This window comes from Homo sapiens, chromosome 2 (genome assembly GCF_000001405.40).
Source record: "Homo sapiens chromosome 2, GRCh38.p14 Primary Assembly".
Classification (NCBI taxonomy): domain Eukaryota; kingdom Metazoa; phylum Chordata; class Mammalia; order Primates; family Hominidae; genus Homo; species Homo sapiens.
Window position 1 is genome coordinate 207,703,682 of NC_000002.12, and position 14,253 is coordinate 207,717,934.

Here is a 14,253-nt window from a genome sequence, read left to right on the forward strand (position 1 = left end):
GGTGGTTGCAGTGAGCCAAGATCGTGCCACTGCACTCTAGCCTGGGCTGGTGAGTGAGACTCCGTCTCAAAAAAACAAAAAAAAGAAAAATATGATGTTCTTAATGTGTAAATTTTAGGAAATTTCCCCTATTACTCTTTTTAGTTTGATTTAATGTGTGTGTGTGTGTTGTTTTCAAAAAAATGTAAGTTGAATATATATTGAAAATATAAGTTGATGCGACAAAATAGACTTACAGCAAAATAGACTTATGCAGGTGAAAGCACCTGCAGAAAGCTGCGTTCTTTTTAACTCCTAAAAAACTCAGAGGCAAGGAGAAAAATGGGCTTCTCTGGATGCCAGATAGTGCATAAGACTTAGATTTGGTTACAGTAATTTTAGCATAATCCATTGTAAGCTGATGATCTGGATGAACTTCACAATAGTGAAGAAACTGGTTTTGAGATTTGGAGATTTTTTTCCCCTTCACTTGAAGGAATGTTGCTCACCACACCTCTTCTACTTGCCCCATGTTTTTAGATTAATGTTTCCTGGAGAAGTGAAACACACTGAGATTAGATAGCTGCATTCTGTAAGAAGTCTGACTATTGTGAGATTACCATGCTATAGGGAATGTGCAACCAGTCCCACATGTGCCAGCCTTCACGGGCTAGTCACTTGATTTGCAAGTCATCATAAACTTTCAGTCTTGGGGATGTGATTTGGAGAAGAGTGGAAGAACCCCACTGACAGCTAGAGCTAACACTCCAGACATATGGCCCCAGGTGAGCAGTCTCAGCCAGGTCCAATCGTTACGTCCACTCCAGATGAGGCCCCAGTCATCCTGGAGCAGGCATGAACAGTCCCTATAGTGGCCTGCCTAATTTCCTGACCCGAACTCATGAGCTTTATACAATGGTTGTTGTTTTTTAAAATGCTACAGGAGAACAGAAACTAGAAGCAGAGGCATAAAACAGAATAGGAAATACTGAACAAAATAAGGAATCATTGCACACAATTCTCAAATTGTGATTGTTAGTACTGTCAATTCAACTTTTTCATCTATTTATCCATTCATTCAGGAAAAATTTGTTGAGAGTGCTACAAGCTAGTTAGTGTGGGAGATATTGAAAAATGACTAAATTAGCTCTGATCTCAGCAAGTTCCTAGTTTAATGGGGGTGTCAGACAAGTAAACAATTAGCACACACTGTAATACAATGTTGCTCTATAGTAAGGGTTTGGAGAAGGAACTGATTGCTTTGAAGATGCAGAATCTCACAGCCTTGAGGGAATCAAAGAAATTCATAGGCACTCTGAGGCTCAAAGACTGAATAGAGGTTTATCAGATGGCCAGAGCAGGGCAGCTACTGAGTTCCCAACTCTTTAGATCTTGAAGCTAACACTATGGCTGCAAAGAACAGGACAGGTCCAGTTTGGACACTCTAGCTTCAATTGCTCCTGTGAGCTCAGAGTTTTTCTTTTTCTTTCCTGAGCAAAGCATTGATTACATAACCAGAATTTTTTTTTTTTTTTTTTTTTTTGAGACAGAGTCTCGCTCTGTCACCCAGGCTGGAGTGCAGTGGCGCGATCTTGGCTCACTGCAAGCTCCGCCTCCCAGGTTCACGCCATTCTCCTGCCTCAGCCTCCCGAGTAGCTGGGACTACAGGCGCCCACCACTGCGCCCAGCTAATTTTTTGTACTTTTTAGTAGAGACGGGGTTTCACCGTGTTAGCCAGGATGGTCTCGATCTCCTGACCTTGTGATCCGCCCGCCTCGGCCTCCCAAAGTGCTGGGCAGAATTTTTTTTTAATAAGAGCATTCATGGCCGGGTGCGGTGGCTCATGCCTGTAATTCCAGCACTTTGGGAGGCAGAGGTGCGTGGATCAATTGAGGTCAGGAGTTCGAGACGAGCCTGACCAATATGGTGAAACCCCATCTCTACTAAAAAGTACAAAAAAGTTAGCTGGGCGTGGTGGCACACACCTGTAGTCCCAGCTACTCGGGAGGCTGAGGCAAGAGAATTGCTTGAACCCAGGAGGCGGAGGTTGCAATGAGCCAAGATTGTGCCATTGTACTCCAGCCTGGGCGACAGAGTGAGACTCCATCCAAAAAAAAAAATGTATTCTATTTCATCTGTGTGTTGAAAAGAAACAGCTCATGGAGTGTGTGGCATTATTCAATGTAGACTCATCAAACAAGCACCCTATAGAAGCAAGGTCTGCTCAGCACAGGAGACAAGGACCTATTCCCAATAAAATTCAATCTAAGTAGGTATTTTGTTTGTTCATTTGTTTTAATGTGCTTTCTATACAAACATATCGCTTAAGACTAGTTTCCTGGGCCCTATATCCATCCAGATTGCTGTCCTAATCCCTTCTGATAGAAAATTTCTAGAGGTACTTAAGGGTAGACTGCATGCTGTGAGGATAAAAATAGAGTTGTCTTAACAATAGGGCAATAGAGCCATCATGAGAAAAAGATGACGTCCTAAAATCTATGAGCTTTGTTTCTAGGGGACAAATCTGGTTCAAAAGACTTCCTCAAACTTTTCCCTGCTGTCAAGTTTAATGCAATTCCTCCTCCTCCTCCAGTTTTGTCTTTCTAATGTCAGCTTGATTTGAGAAGGTACCTGTCAAAAAGGCTACTAGAATAACCTGGTGGGAATGTGTTAAGCCATTGCAAGAAAATGGTTCCAGCTGGCCGGGTGTAGTGGCTCACGCCTATAATCCCAGCACTTTGGGAGGCTGAGGTGGGTGGATCACCTGAGGTCAGGGGTTCGAGACCAGCCTGGCCAACATGGTGAAACCCCGTCTCTACTAAAAAAATACAAAAAATTAGCCGGGTATGGTGGCACATGCCTGTAATCCCAGCTACTCAGGAGGCTGAGGCAGGAGAATCGCTTGAACCTGGGAGGCGGAGGTTGCAGTGAGCCGAGATCGTGCCATTGCACTCCAGTCTGGGCAACAAGAGCAAAACCCTGTCTCAAAAAAAAAAAATTTTTGCTCTGTCCCCCAGGCTAAAGTGCAGTGGCGCTATCTTGGCTCACTTGAACTCCGCCTCCCGAGTTCAAGAGATTCTCCTGCCTCAGCTGGAATTACAGGCGTCTACCACCATGTCCAGGTAATTTCTGTATTTTTAGTAGAGATGGGGTTTCTCCATGATGGCCAGGCTGGTCTCAAACTCCTGACCTCAGGTGGTCCGCCGCCTCGGCCTCTCAAAGTGCTGGGATTACAGGCATGAGCCACCAGACCTGGCTAGTTTATTTATTTATACTTGTGTTGTTCCCAGATTAATTTTGTAGTAAGTTTATTTCCTGAGCAAGTGTAGATGGCAGCTCTCTTATAAAACTAAGTAACTGCAAACAACATGTTGTTATAGTCATTGGAACTGGGAGTGGAGCAGGCATTTGCTTAGAAAACCAGGAGCCTGAACAGACACTTCCGGAAAAAAAAAAAAAAAGGATCTTCCACCCCCACTAGGAGGTGATCTGAGGAAGTCTAGCAGTGGGCTGAAAAGGCTGGGTAAGATTTTAGACCTTTTGCAGCACCTAGGCAAATGAAACTGGAAGCAAATACACCAGTTTATAAGGAGGAGAAAAGAGCCCAGGAAGGCAAAAGGAAGCTCCTAGTCTCTCTTAAAACTGCAAGCCCTTCCTAGAATTTGTCTCATAAAATACCCTGATGTTTGGAACTGTAATCACAGTGAAAATTTGGGGCAAGAACTGACCTGTCCAATGAGCATTATCTGCCCTGGTGATATGGCAAACTAACACCCTTCTCGTTTTTTTTTTCAGAGCATCATTTCTCATAAATTAGCTTTCTCATCTCAACTGACTCACTTGGCAGAAACAAATCTACATGGTGTAGAAGAGAGAAGGCAGGGGAATAGTTCAGAAGGAGTGAAAAGAGATAAGTGAAGAGATAAGTGGAAGAAGGGCAGTTTACTAAATTAGAGGTACCAGCACCATCGTATGACGAATTTACTGAAAAATCCAGATTGGAATTTTTTGAAATCAGGAATGAGAGAAGTTGAGCTGTTCCACATCATATTAGGCATAACAGTAATTCTTAAAATTTTTGCCAAGAGCTACCTTTGAGGGTATGATGAAAACTATAGACCCTCTGCTGAGAAAAAAAATGTATATATGACTTACACACAAAATCCTATTATATTAGAACAACTAGTTATGATACCTGAGATGGAACCAATTAGTCACAACACACACACAATAAACTGTATATTCCTGATCTCTTGACTGTCATAAAATTGTTCTTGCATCTAACCTAAAGTCTCATTCTATAGTTTAATCCTCTCTGTACTTTTTCTGTCTTCTTAGCTTAAGAAAAGATCATTACAAATTCCTTGTTTTTCACATACTCTTGCAAAGGGCTATGAAATTTTATTGCTATTATTCTTTCTCGCTTTTTTTTTTTTTTTTTTTTTTTTTTGAGACGGAGTCTCTCTCTGTTGCCCAGGCTGGAGTGCAATGGTGTGATCTTGGCTTATTGCAACCTCCGCCTCCTGGGCTCAAGCAATTCTCCTGCCTCAGCCTCCCAAGTAGCTGGGACTACAGGCACGTGCCACCATGCTCAGCTAATTTTTTTGTATTTTTAATAGAGACGGGATATCACCATGCTGGCCAAGCTGGTCTCAAACTCTTGACCTTGTGATCCACCCGCCTTGGCCTCCCAAAGAGCTGGGATTACAGGCATGAGCCACCATGCCAGGCCTGTTGTTATTCTGGTTTTAAACAGAAACTTCCTTAATTTTTCCTTACAGAATGTGGCAGAGAGTGCTAGTTGCCTTCCAATATCCGTTTCTTCCTTTTGTATTAGTCACCCTAGCTATATGACTATTGTTTTTTTTTTTTGAGCCTTCCCTGCAGCTAGGTATGGCTATGTGACTAAGCTTTAAGCCAATGATTTGTAAGCACTGTGCTATATGGGCCTTCCAAAATTTTTTCTTTCTTTTCTCTTTTTTTTTTTTTTTTTTGAGACAGAGTCTCACTCTGTCACCCAGGCTGGAGTGCAGTGGCACCATCTTGGCTTGCTGCAACTTCCACCTCCTGGGTTCAAGTGATTCTCCTGCCTCAGCCTCCCGAGTAGCTGGGACTACAGCTGCCACCATGTCCGGCTAATTTTTTTGCATTTTTTTTGGAGACGGAGTTTTGCTATGCAGCCCAGGCTAGAGTGCAGAGGTGTGATCTTGGCTCACTGCATCCTCCGCCTCCATGGTCCTGGTTCAAGCAATTCTCCTGCCTCAGCCTCCTGAGTAGCTGGAATTATAGGCAGGCACCACCATGCCCAGCTAATTTTTGTATTTTTAGTACAGACAAGGTTTGATCATGTTTGCCAGGCTGGTCTTGAACTCCTGACCTCATGATCCGCTTGCCTCGGACCTCCCAAAATGCTGGGATTACAGGTGTGAGCCACCGTGCCCAGCCTTTTTTTTTGTGTTTTTAATGGAGACAGGGTTTTGCCACGTTGGCCAGGCTGGTCTCGATCTCCTGACCTCAGGTGATCCACCCCCCGCTCAACCTCCCAAAGTGCTGGGATTACAGGTGTGAGCCACCATGCCCGGCCCCCAAATTTTTTCTTTCTTTTTCCTTCCTCCACCCTGCTGTCTGGAATGAAGACCCAATAGCTGGAGATCAATAGCCATCCTAGGCCATGAAGGTGGAGGTGATGGCCAATGTTGTCTGTTGACTCCCTTACTGGAAGTTTTGCAGGAACAGGAGCCTTTTTTTATCTTGGTGAAAGCAACATCCCCAGCACTTAAAAAGTATGTGACATGTGCTAAGAGCTCAGGTATTGAATGGATAGTGAACGTATGAGTTAACTCTGGACCTATATAAAGTCTCAGCTTCTTTCACAGAATCAAACTCTTGCTTAATTCAAAGCACATTCCTCCTACTTGCTTCCCTTTGCTCTCCCAGGCTTGCCACTGTTACAGAATTTTTTTTTCTTAATTCTCTCTAATATTCCCTTCATTCAAAATGTTTTAAAATCTATTTCCGTAACAATGCTTCCCAATATCTTCCTGGTTAGCAAGTTTTAAATTCTTCAGTTTTCAAGGTCGTAGATATCTATTTTTGTGTATGTCTGTTGTTAAATGCAGGCATTATTTTGTACCTTAAAATAGGCATCGTCTCAAGTCTACAAGAATCATCCAAAATGGTATCTAATGACATTCCTAGGGTTTCAGACAATTTTTTTTTTCTTTGAGACGGAGTCTTGCTCTGTCGCCCAGGCTGGAGTGCAGTGGACTGATCTTGGCTCACTGCAATCTCTGCCTCCCAGGTTCAGGAGATTCTCCTGCCTCAGCCTCCCTAGTAGCTGGGACTATGGGTGGACGCCACCATGCCTGGCTAATTTTTGTGTTTTTAGTAGAGACGGGGTTTCTCCATGTTGGTCAGGCTGGTCTTGAACTCCTGACCTCAAGCAATTCACCCGCCTCTGCCTCTCTAAGTGCTGGGATTACAGACGTGAGCCACCGCGCCCAACAAGAGCAAAACTCCGTCTCAAAAAAAAAAAAACAAAAAAAAAACAATCCCATTTTGCAGGTTTTATAGAAGAAATTGGGACGCAGAAGTTAAGTTACTTCCGCAAGCTTACATGACTGCTCAGGGTGAGGGTCCCTGATCATGATGATCAGAAAATAAAGGTAGAAATCAAGCTTAGGGAGGAAGTGACATTGTGTGTATATATATATATTTGTTTATTTATTTTTATTTTTATGTTTTATTTTTTTGAAACGGAGCCTAGGTCGCCCAGGCTGGAGTGCAATGGCGCGATCTCGGCTTACGGCAACCTCTGCCTCCCGGGTTCAAGTGATTCTCCTGCCTCAGCCTCCCGAGTAGCTGGGAATACGGGCGCGTGCCACCATGCCCGGCTAATTTTTTGTATTTTTAGTAGAGACGGGATTTCACCGTGTTAGCCAGGATGGTCTGGATCTCCTGACCTGGTGATCCGCCCGCCTCGGCCTCCCAAAGTGTTGGGATTACAGGCATGAGCCACCGCGCCCGGCCGGGATTGTTTTTAAGGGTTAAATAAATATACCACAGTTGGAACACTGTCTGGCACATAGTGCTTGCCAAATGGTAACTATTCATCTTCATGGAATCAAGACTGTGGTGCCCCACTGCATGGTTCTCAGTTTTGCGTGAGAAAATCGTGCTTTCTGTGCTGTTTTTAGTACAAGAAGAGAAACCTGGAAGTCCCTGCCTAGAGGAGAGAAACAGGCAAGAAAAGGGAGTTGGCGAGTCCCAGCATTTCAGAGTTGGCAGGGACGAGTTAGGTCCCTATTTTATGGATGAGGAAGTGGAAGGGTGACGTGTCCTCGAGTCTCATTCAAGACCCACAGCCACAACTCTTTATGGAGAGTAGGACCAGGGCCCCAGGGTTGCTATGATCACGTTGCAGGTGAAAACTAACGCTCATTGGAAGACAGGAGCGGAGCACTGAGTTACAAAAACAGTTAACAATTTGGGTGTAACCAAGTTTAGTGAGCAAACGAAAGCTGTCAGACTCGGAAGAAGAGTTGCTAATGGAGCGAACTCTTTACTAATAACGGCTTTCTACAGAGATCATTGACACAGCTTCCAGTTACAAATGCCCGTGCGCTTCCAGTAGGACCGGAAAGCTCCCAGCAGCCAGCGATGAATGAAAACCCGAGTCTGGGATAGCGGCGTGAGGGGCTGGGCAGCTGCCAGGCGGGGGCGGGGCAGCAGGTCACGTGCCTGGCTTCGAGGCGGGCGCCGGAGGGGGAACTCTGACCATGATTGGTTCCTCCTAACCAGGTGACCGCAGGTCGCGTTCCGGTTGGCAGGCACCGGCCAGGGCCAGCGGCCTTCAGTCGGTAGGCGGCGGCGGAAGGAGGAGGAGCTCCAGCCGCGCTCTCTCCCGGCAGTGGCTGTGCTTCACAGCGCTTGTTGGGTTCCCCACCCCTTTTAAATAAGCCGGGCTGGTCACCGCCCTCGCAGACGAGTCAGCTTAAGGGAGGCGGCGGCAGCGCGGCGGTGGGGGTGCGGCCGAGGCCCGAGCCCTGCCCGGGGCCGGGCCGCGGGGCGGGCGGGCGAACCGCGGGCGAGGCGGCGTCTGCTTGCGCGGTGCAGCCCCAGCGTAGCCCGGGGCTGCCGGTGCCGGCCGCGCCATTGTTGGGGGAGGGGGCGGCTGTTGAGGGCGGCGGAGTAGGGGGCGAGCGAAGGCGGTGGCAGAGAGGAGCGGAGGCTTCCCATGGGGAACACGCTGACCTGTTGCGTGTCCCCCAATGCCAGCCCCAAGCTGGGCCGGCGCGCGGGGTCGGCGGAGCTGTACTGCGCGTCCGACATCTACGAGGCGGTGTCCGGGGACGCGGTGGCGGTAGCGCCCGCTGTGGTGGAGCCTGCCGAGTTGGATTTCGGAGAGGGCGAGGGCCACCACCTGCAGCACATCAGCGACCGCGAGATGCCCGAAGGTAAGGAGGCGGCGGATGCCATCCGCCCTCGGGCTCACCTCTGCCCGCCTCCTCCCCCAGAGTCCCCCGGGAGGCATCCGCCGCCTCGGGCTCCTTCCTGCCGGTAGCCGGCCCCGGGACGAAGGCTGGTTCTGCCTCGCGTCCCCACCCCTTATTCTTGCCCTGCTGCGTCTGGCCAGTTTCTTTTCCTCCTCCTTACCGTAACGCCCAGTTCTTGCTCCCGCTTCCCATTCTCCCAAGCCGGCGTGGGACCCTCTAGTCCGCCGCCCTTCTTGTTTGTAGCTCTGTTCATTGTCTGGTGGGACTTTGCTAAGACTTTTGGGGTATATTGTTTTCCTTTTCTCAATGGAAACTCAAATACCTCAACTTCGGAGTACTCATCCCATTCCCTCCCTTAACCCATCCAGATGGTACCTAAGTGAAGGAACCAGGTAAGGGTCTGATTGTTCCTTCCTCCCATCCGTGAAGATAGCTGATGCCCGCGACAGTTTAGACCCAGATGTTTGAGGATTTCTTATCTAGACTCAAAATAGAGGTTGCCATAGGAGACACTATATGGTATTCCTAATAGGTTAAGTCGGCGTGAAAGAAGCTGCTTTATTCCTTCCAACTATAATTTGAACACAGAAAGAAAGAAAATGGGGGGAGGGGCGTAAAATGACTGTGAAGGGTGTGAGAGGTTATTACCAGGGGTGCAGACAAGTTGTTTTTTTGAGACGGAATCTCGTTTTGTCGCCCGCCCAGGCTGGAGTGCAGTGGCGCGATCTCGGCTCGCTGCAACCTCCGCCTCTCGGTTTCAAGCGATTCCTCTGCCTCAGCCTCCCGAGTAGCTGGGATTACAGGCGTGCGCCACCACGCCCAGCTAATTTTTGAATTTTTAGTAGAGACGGGGTTTCACCATGTTGGTCAGGCTGGTCTCTAACTCCAGAGTTCTTGATCCGCCCGCCTCGGCCTCCCAAAGTGCTGGGATTACAGGCGTGAGCCACCGCGCCCAGAGGTTGTTAACTCAAAGGAGTTTAGCCACGGAGTTCTGATTACTTTAAAATTCCCACGGTGGCAAATACATCTCCAGCCATTCTCCGGTGACTTAACAGACTTCAATACCTCCTTGTTCTAAAAGAGAGGTGGGGTGGTTCATGGTTAGAAGTTTCAAAAGAGACAAAGTATAAATTTAGACTTAATTTATAATGTAATGGTTTGGAAGTTAAAATGCTAGACCCTGCCTGCTCAAGAGTATTTGTTTCCGTGGTTCCCCTTCCTTCCTCCCAATCCTGCCAATAGAATCCTGGTCAAAGATGAGAATGTTGGGGTTCGTCAGACTCTAAACCGTTGAGGTAGGGGTGAGGGGAGAGGAAACGTTTAGTTTTTTGCCTTTAGAATTTTGGAAAGAGATAAGTCTAGGTAAAAATAATTCTGGGTAGCAGCGTGATTCTTGAATAAAAACTAATTCTTTTGAAGTAGAAAAACATTGTATCATAAAGATGTTTAAATCCAGTGGGCTCATTTGTTTCGTATAAATGCCAGAGATTTCATTACTATAGAAGAAATGTGTTAGAACTCTTATATTTAAACTTTGCTTGGACTCTTAATTTCTTTAAAATAATAATTAAGCTTCATGATGGACATGCCTTTGTAACTAGGAACTACTTTACTTACCTTTCGGAATATTCAGACATTGTGAAAGAATGAACAAATATATTATGTGAGTTAATTGATTGTACCTTTATACACAAAGCATGTAAGTGCTTGTGAAAACTTAATGCTCTCTTAGTGGTGTCAGGTAAGCCTCTGAGTGATTTTACACACCAGTTAGTAGATGGGTGGGTGGTGTTGGGTGAGAGCCCCAAATAAGGCTCCCACCCAGTGTACATGAAAATACATACTTTCATGTACATGTAATTTAGCCCTTCCAAAATAAGGCCTGTTTATATTCCCCGTGTTGCTAATGAAGAAATAAAGAGTTAGGTATGTAGAATGACTATGTAAGACAGCCACTGAGCAGAACTAAGGTTCTCAGTTCTCAGACTGACATGGAGGTGAGATATACCAAGTTCAGTTCTTAAAAAACTTTTAAAAATCCAGAATGCATCATGTATTTTACCCATAAAATAGTCCTGTTTTTGAGAACTTACTTCGGTCTTGATTAGTTCCTTTCAAAGTTTATTTTACACGATTCAGAGGCAACACTTACATCTCTTTTTTTTTTTTTTTTTTTTTTTTTTAAGAGAAAGAGTCTCACTGTGTTGACCAGGCTGGCCTCGAACTCCTGGCCTGGGCTCAAGCAGTCCTCCCACCTCAGCCTCCTGAATAGCTGGGACCACGGGCGTGTGCCATCTTGCCTGGCTCCATCTTATGTCTATACATTCATTTCAGTGGATAAGAATAAAAGTAGAGGTAACAAAATGGCCTAAATATACCCATCAAATAAACAGGTTGATAAATTTTAAAGAGTTTGTTCTGGTAACTGTGAATTGAAGCTGAGAATGCACTGGACAGAGGAATATTAGAAGCTGGCAAGAGGGAAGGTAAGGTACCAGGCATTAAGCATGGGATGATGATAAAGAGTGCTAAATCAGAAAAGTTGGAAAAAGAGAATTTGTAAGCACAGAATTTACCATTGTATGTTAGTATGACAGTTACATTTTTATTTCAATTTGTCTCAAAATTTATTTTTGTGGCATTCAATAAAGTGATAATAGAAATCTCCATTTCGGCATTTGCCTATTATTCATAAGTTTCCATAGAAACATGGCCAGAACACCAAATATAAAGTATAGACACATTGAAAGTTTGCTTTTAATATCTTTATTTCAGACAATTTTATATCAGTCTCCCTGGAAACAGAAATTCTTACTGAGATGTAAAACATTTGGCTGGGCATGGTGGCTCACGCCTGTAATCCCAGCACTTCGGGAGGCTGAGGTGGGCGGATCACGAGGTCAGGAGTTCGAGAGCAGCCTGGCCAACATGGTGAAACCCCGTCTCTACTAAAAATACAAAAATTAGCTGGGTGTGGTGGCGGGCATCTGTAATCCCAGCTACTCAGGAGGCTAAGGCAGGAGAATCACTTGAACCCAGGAGGCAGAGGTTGCAGTGAGCTGAGATCGTGCCACTGCACTCTAGCCTGGACAGTGGAGCAAGACTCTGTCTCAAAACAAACAAACAAACAAAAAATTTAGCTTTTCTACAATGAAGAATTATTTTTGTTACTTAGACAAAAATCATACATAAATGACGCTCGGCTTTGTTCTTCAAGCTATTTCTTTTTTTTTTTTTTTTTTTTTTGACAGAGCTTCACTCTTGCCTAGGCTGGAGTGCAATGGCACAAACTTGGTTCAGTGCAACCTCTTCCTCCCGTGTTCAAGTGATTCTCCTGCCTCAGCCTCCCAAGTAGTTGGGATTACAGGCATATGCCACCATGCCCAGCTAATTTTTGTATTTTTAGTAGAGACAGGGTTTCAGTATGTTGGCCAGGCTGGTCTCGAACTCCTGACCTCAAGCGATCCAGCTGCCTTGGCCTCCCAAAGTGCTGGGATCATAGGTGTGAGCCACCGCGCCTGGCCTTTTTTTTTTTTTTGAGATGGAGTTTCGCTCTTGTTGCTCAGGCTGGAGTGGAATGGCGCGATCTCGGCTCACTGTAACCTCTGCGCCCAGAGTTCAAGCAGTTCTCCTGCTTCAGCCTCCTGAGTAGCTGGGATTACAGGTGTGTGCCACCACGCCCAGCTAATTTTTTGTGTTTTTAGTAGAGATGGTTTCACCATGTTGGCCAGGCTGGTCTGGAACTCCTGACCTCAGGTGATCCACCTGTCTCAACCTCCCAAAGTGCTGGGATTACAGGTGTGAGCCACCACGCCTGGTCTCGTCAAGCTAAGAGATGCTCCTAAGAACCTAGTAAACATTTCAGATAGACTCAAAGTATTTTCTACTACCTTGCCTTTATTTAACGGTATGTCTAACATAACTGACGGTAGTATCAGTAACACAAAATAAGATACTAAGATCTTATTGTCCGATTTTATTAGTACTCTTGACTTTTCATGGAGCATTTTATGTTCTGACGTTAGGAGCTTTGCTAATTTGCTGGCTAAAGGCGCTCTCTGAAGTGACTCTTTCTATTCTTTTCCACTGATGGGTGAAGGTAGGGAAAGAATTGGCAATGTAATGTGGAAAAACCTCTGAGCAACAGATCTTTCCTCTTTCCAGTAGCTATTTTAAGCCCTCTCTTTTTTTTTTTTTTTTGCTTTTTTGAATAATATGTTTGATGTAAAAGACATAGAGAATACAGAAAAGTCATTGATTATGGTATGCATATGAATATAACATTTTATTTTAGAAAAATGAGATCATTCTATATGAGCTGCTTCATAACTTACAGCAGTGAAATAATGTCATAAATTCCTGAATCACTGCTTGACATCCAGAGAGTGCTCCAAGATATCTTTCCATGCCAGGACACCCTGCTCTATCGCATGCCTTCTAGTAACTGCTTAATGTACCATCAGATGGTTGGAGTATCATTTATTTACCTATCCTTTATGATTGGGCATCTTTTCTAGTAACATCATACACAGTCTCATTACATTTGATTTCAAGGGTACCGATAAAAACATATTTTGATGACTGATGCCTTGTACCTCCCTGTAGAATTCAGTTAAATCTATGGGTTGAGTCATTTTGTAGTTAAGATATTTTAGTATTAAATGTTCTTATGGGCCAGGTGTGGTGGCTCACGCCTGTAATCCCAGCACTTTGGGAGGCCGAGGCGGGTGGATCACGAGGTCAGGAGATCGAGACCATCCTGGCTAACACGGTGAAACCCCGTCTCTACGAAAAATACAAAAAATTAGCCGGGCGTGGTGGCGGGCGCCTGTAGTCCCAGCTACTCGGGAGGCTGAGGCAGGAGAATGGTGTGAACCCAGGAGGCAGAGATTGCAGTGAGCCGAGATCACGCCACTGCACTCCAGCCTGGGTGACGGAGCGAGACTCCATCTCAAAAAAAAAAAAAAAAAAAGTTCTTATGTCAAATTGGAGTTAGCATTGACTTTTCCCTGGACTTTAGAATTCATCATTTAATATTTTTTGTTTCTTGGTAGCCTATCTTGCATCTTTAATTCTGAATAGCTACCACTTTAAAAGATTTGATGCTTACCACTTTAAAAGATTTGATTAGATGACAAATCAAGAGAGAATGTTAGAAGAAATATTAAAAGATGTGGGAAAACTGGGAGAAACTTGACTAGTTTTGGGTGTGCTGAAACAGATGTTTATTGAGTACCTTTAGGTGGCCAGGCTGTGTTCCAGATTTAGGGCAGACAGTGGTATACAAGACAGAACCTCATCCTAACTCTGATCCTTACATTCTGGAGGGAGCTAGGGATAGATAATACATGAATAATCAAGAATGTTAGGTGGTGAGGTGCTAGGGAGAAAAGTAAAATAGGGTCATGGATTGGGGAGGAGGACAGTTACATGGGGGTTGTGGGGATGAAAGATGGCTGCTCTCCTTACGTGACCTGTGAGCAGTCCTAAAGTGAGAAGGGAGCCTTGTGAGGATGGTTGGTGAGAGCCAGGGGTCCACACAGACAGTTACTTTGGAGTTCCTTGAATGGGAGCAAACTTGTTTTTGGCCAAGGACAGAAAGACACAGGGTGGCTGCGGAAGAGTGAAAAGGATGCCAGGACTATGGTGGGTTAAGGCCATGTGTGTATAGTGGGCCTTGGCAAAGAATATAGACTTTAGTTGTGATAGGAAACCATTGGAGGATTATAGCCTGGGAAATATTTTTAATTCTTTTTTTTTTTTTTTGAGATGGAATCTT

At 45.2% G+C, this 14,253-nt stretch overlaps 1 protein-coding gene across 3 annotated transcripts in view, besides 7 other annotated features; it reads left to right on the forward strand.

Annotated features, from left to right (window-relative positions):
* Positions 7,151–7,350: an enhancer, noted in NCBI's record as "active region_17043". NCBI's record gives its function as "activates an Ori minimal core promoter by ATAC-STARR-seq in GM12878 lymphoblastoid cells {active_cell/tissue: GM12878}" and the evidence as "EXISTENCE:reporter gene assay evidence [ECO:0000049][PMID:35858748]".
* Positions 7,361–7,410: an enhancer, noted in NCBI's record as "active region_17044". NCBI's record gives its function as "activates an Ori minimal core promoter by ATAC-STARR-seq in GM12878 lymphoblastoid cells {active_cell/tissue: GM12878}" and the evidence as "EXISTENCE:reporter gene assay evidence [ECO:0000049][PMID:35858748]".
* Positions 7,631–8,080: a silencer, noted in NCBI's record as "silent region_12282". NCBI's record gives its function as "represses an Ori minimal core promoter by ATAC-STARR-seq in GM12878 lymphoblastoid cells {active_cell/tissue: GM12878}" and the evidence as "EXISTENCE:reporter gene assay evidence [ECO:0000049][PMID:35858748]".
* Positions 7,631–8,782: a biological region, named in NCBI's record as "H3K27ac-H3K4me1 hESC enhancer GRCh37_chr2:208576168-208577164".
* Positions 7,763–8,759: an enhancer, noted in NCBI's record as "H3K27ac-H3K4me1 hESC enhancer chr2:208576168-208577164 (GRCh37/hg19 assembly coordinates)". NCBI's record gives its function as "activates a minimal SCP1, AML or CMV promoter by ChIP-STARR-seq in primed H9 embryonic stem cells {active_cell/tissue: H9 hESC(primed)}" and the evidence as "EXISTENCE:reporter gene assay evidence [ECO:0000049][PMID:30033119]".
* CCNYL1 (cyclin Y like 1) overlaps positions 7,959–14,253 on the forward strand; it is a 44,535-nt gene continuing 38,240 nt past the window's right edge. For 2 of the 3 annotated variants that reach the window (NM_001330218.2, NM_001142300.2), the window contains exon 1: positions 7,959–8,435. In NM_001330218.2, coding sequence (NP_001317147.1) covers positions 8,216–8,435 — 220 coding nt within the window. In that variant the 5' untranslated portion in view covers positions 7,959–8,215. The remainder of the gene's footprint in view (positions 8,436–14,253) is intronic. The other variant, NM_152523.3, reaches the window with a different exon arrangement.
* Positions 8,501–8,610: a silencer, noted in NCBI's record as "silent region_12283". NCBI's record gives its function as "represses an Ori minimal core promoter by ATAC-STARR-seq in GM12878 lymphoblastoid cells {active_cell/tissue: GM12878}" and the evidence as "EXISTENCE:reporter gene assay evidence [ECO:0000049][PMID:35858748]".
* Positions 8,623–8,782: a silencer, noted in NCBI's record as "fragment chr2:208577028-208577187 (GRCh37/hg19 assembly coordinates)". NCBI's record gives its function as "represses an EF-1alpha promoter that drives an FKBP-Casp9 reporter gene in an ReSE screen in phorbol 12-myristate 13-acetate-treated (for megakaryocytic differentiation) K562 erythroleukemia cells {active_cell/tissue: K562(+PMA)}" and the evidence as "EXISTENCE:reporter gene assay evidence [ECO:0000049][PMID:32094911]".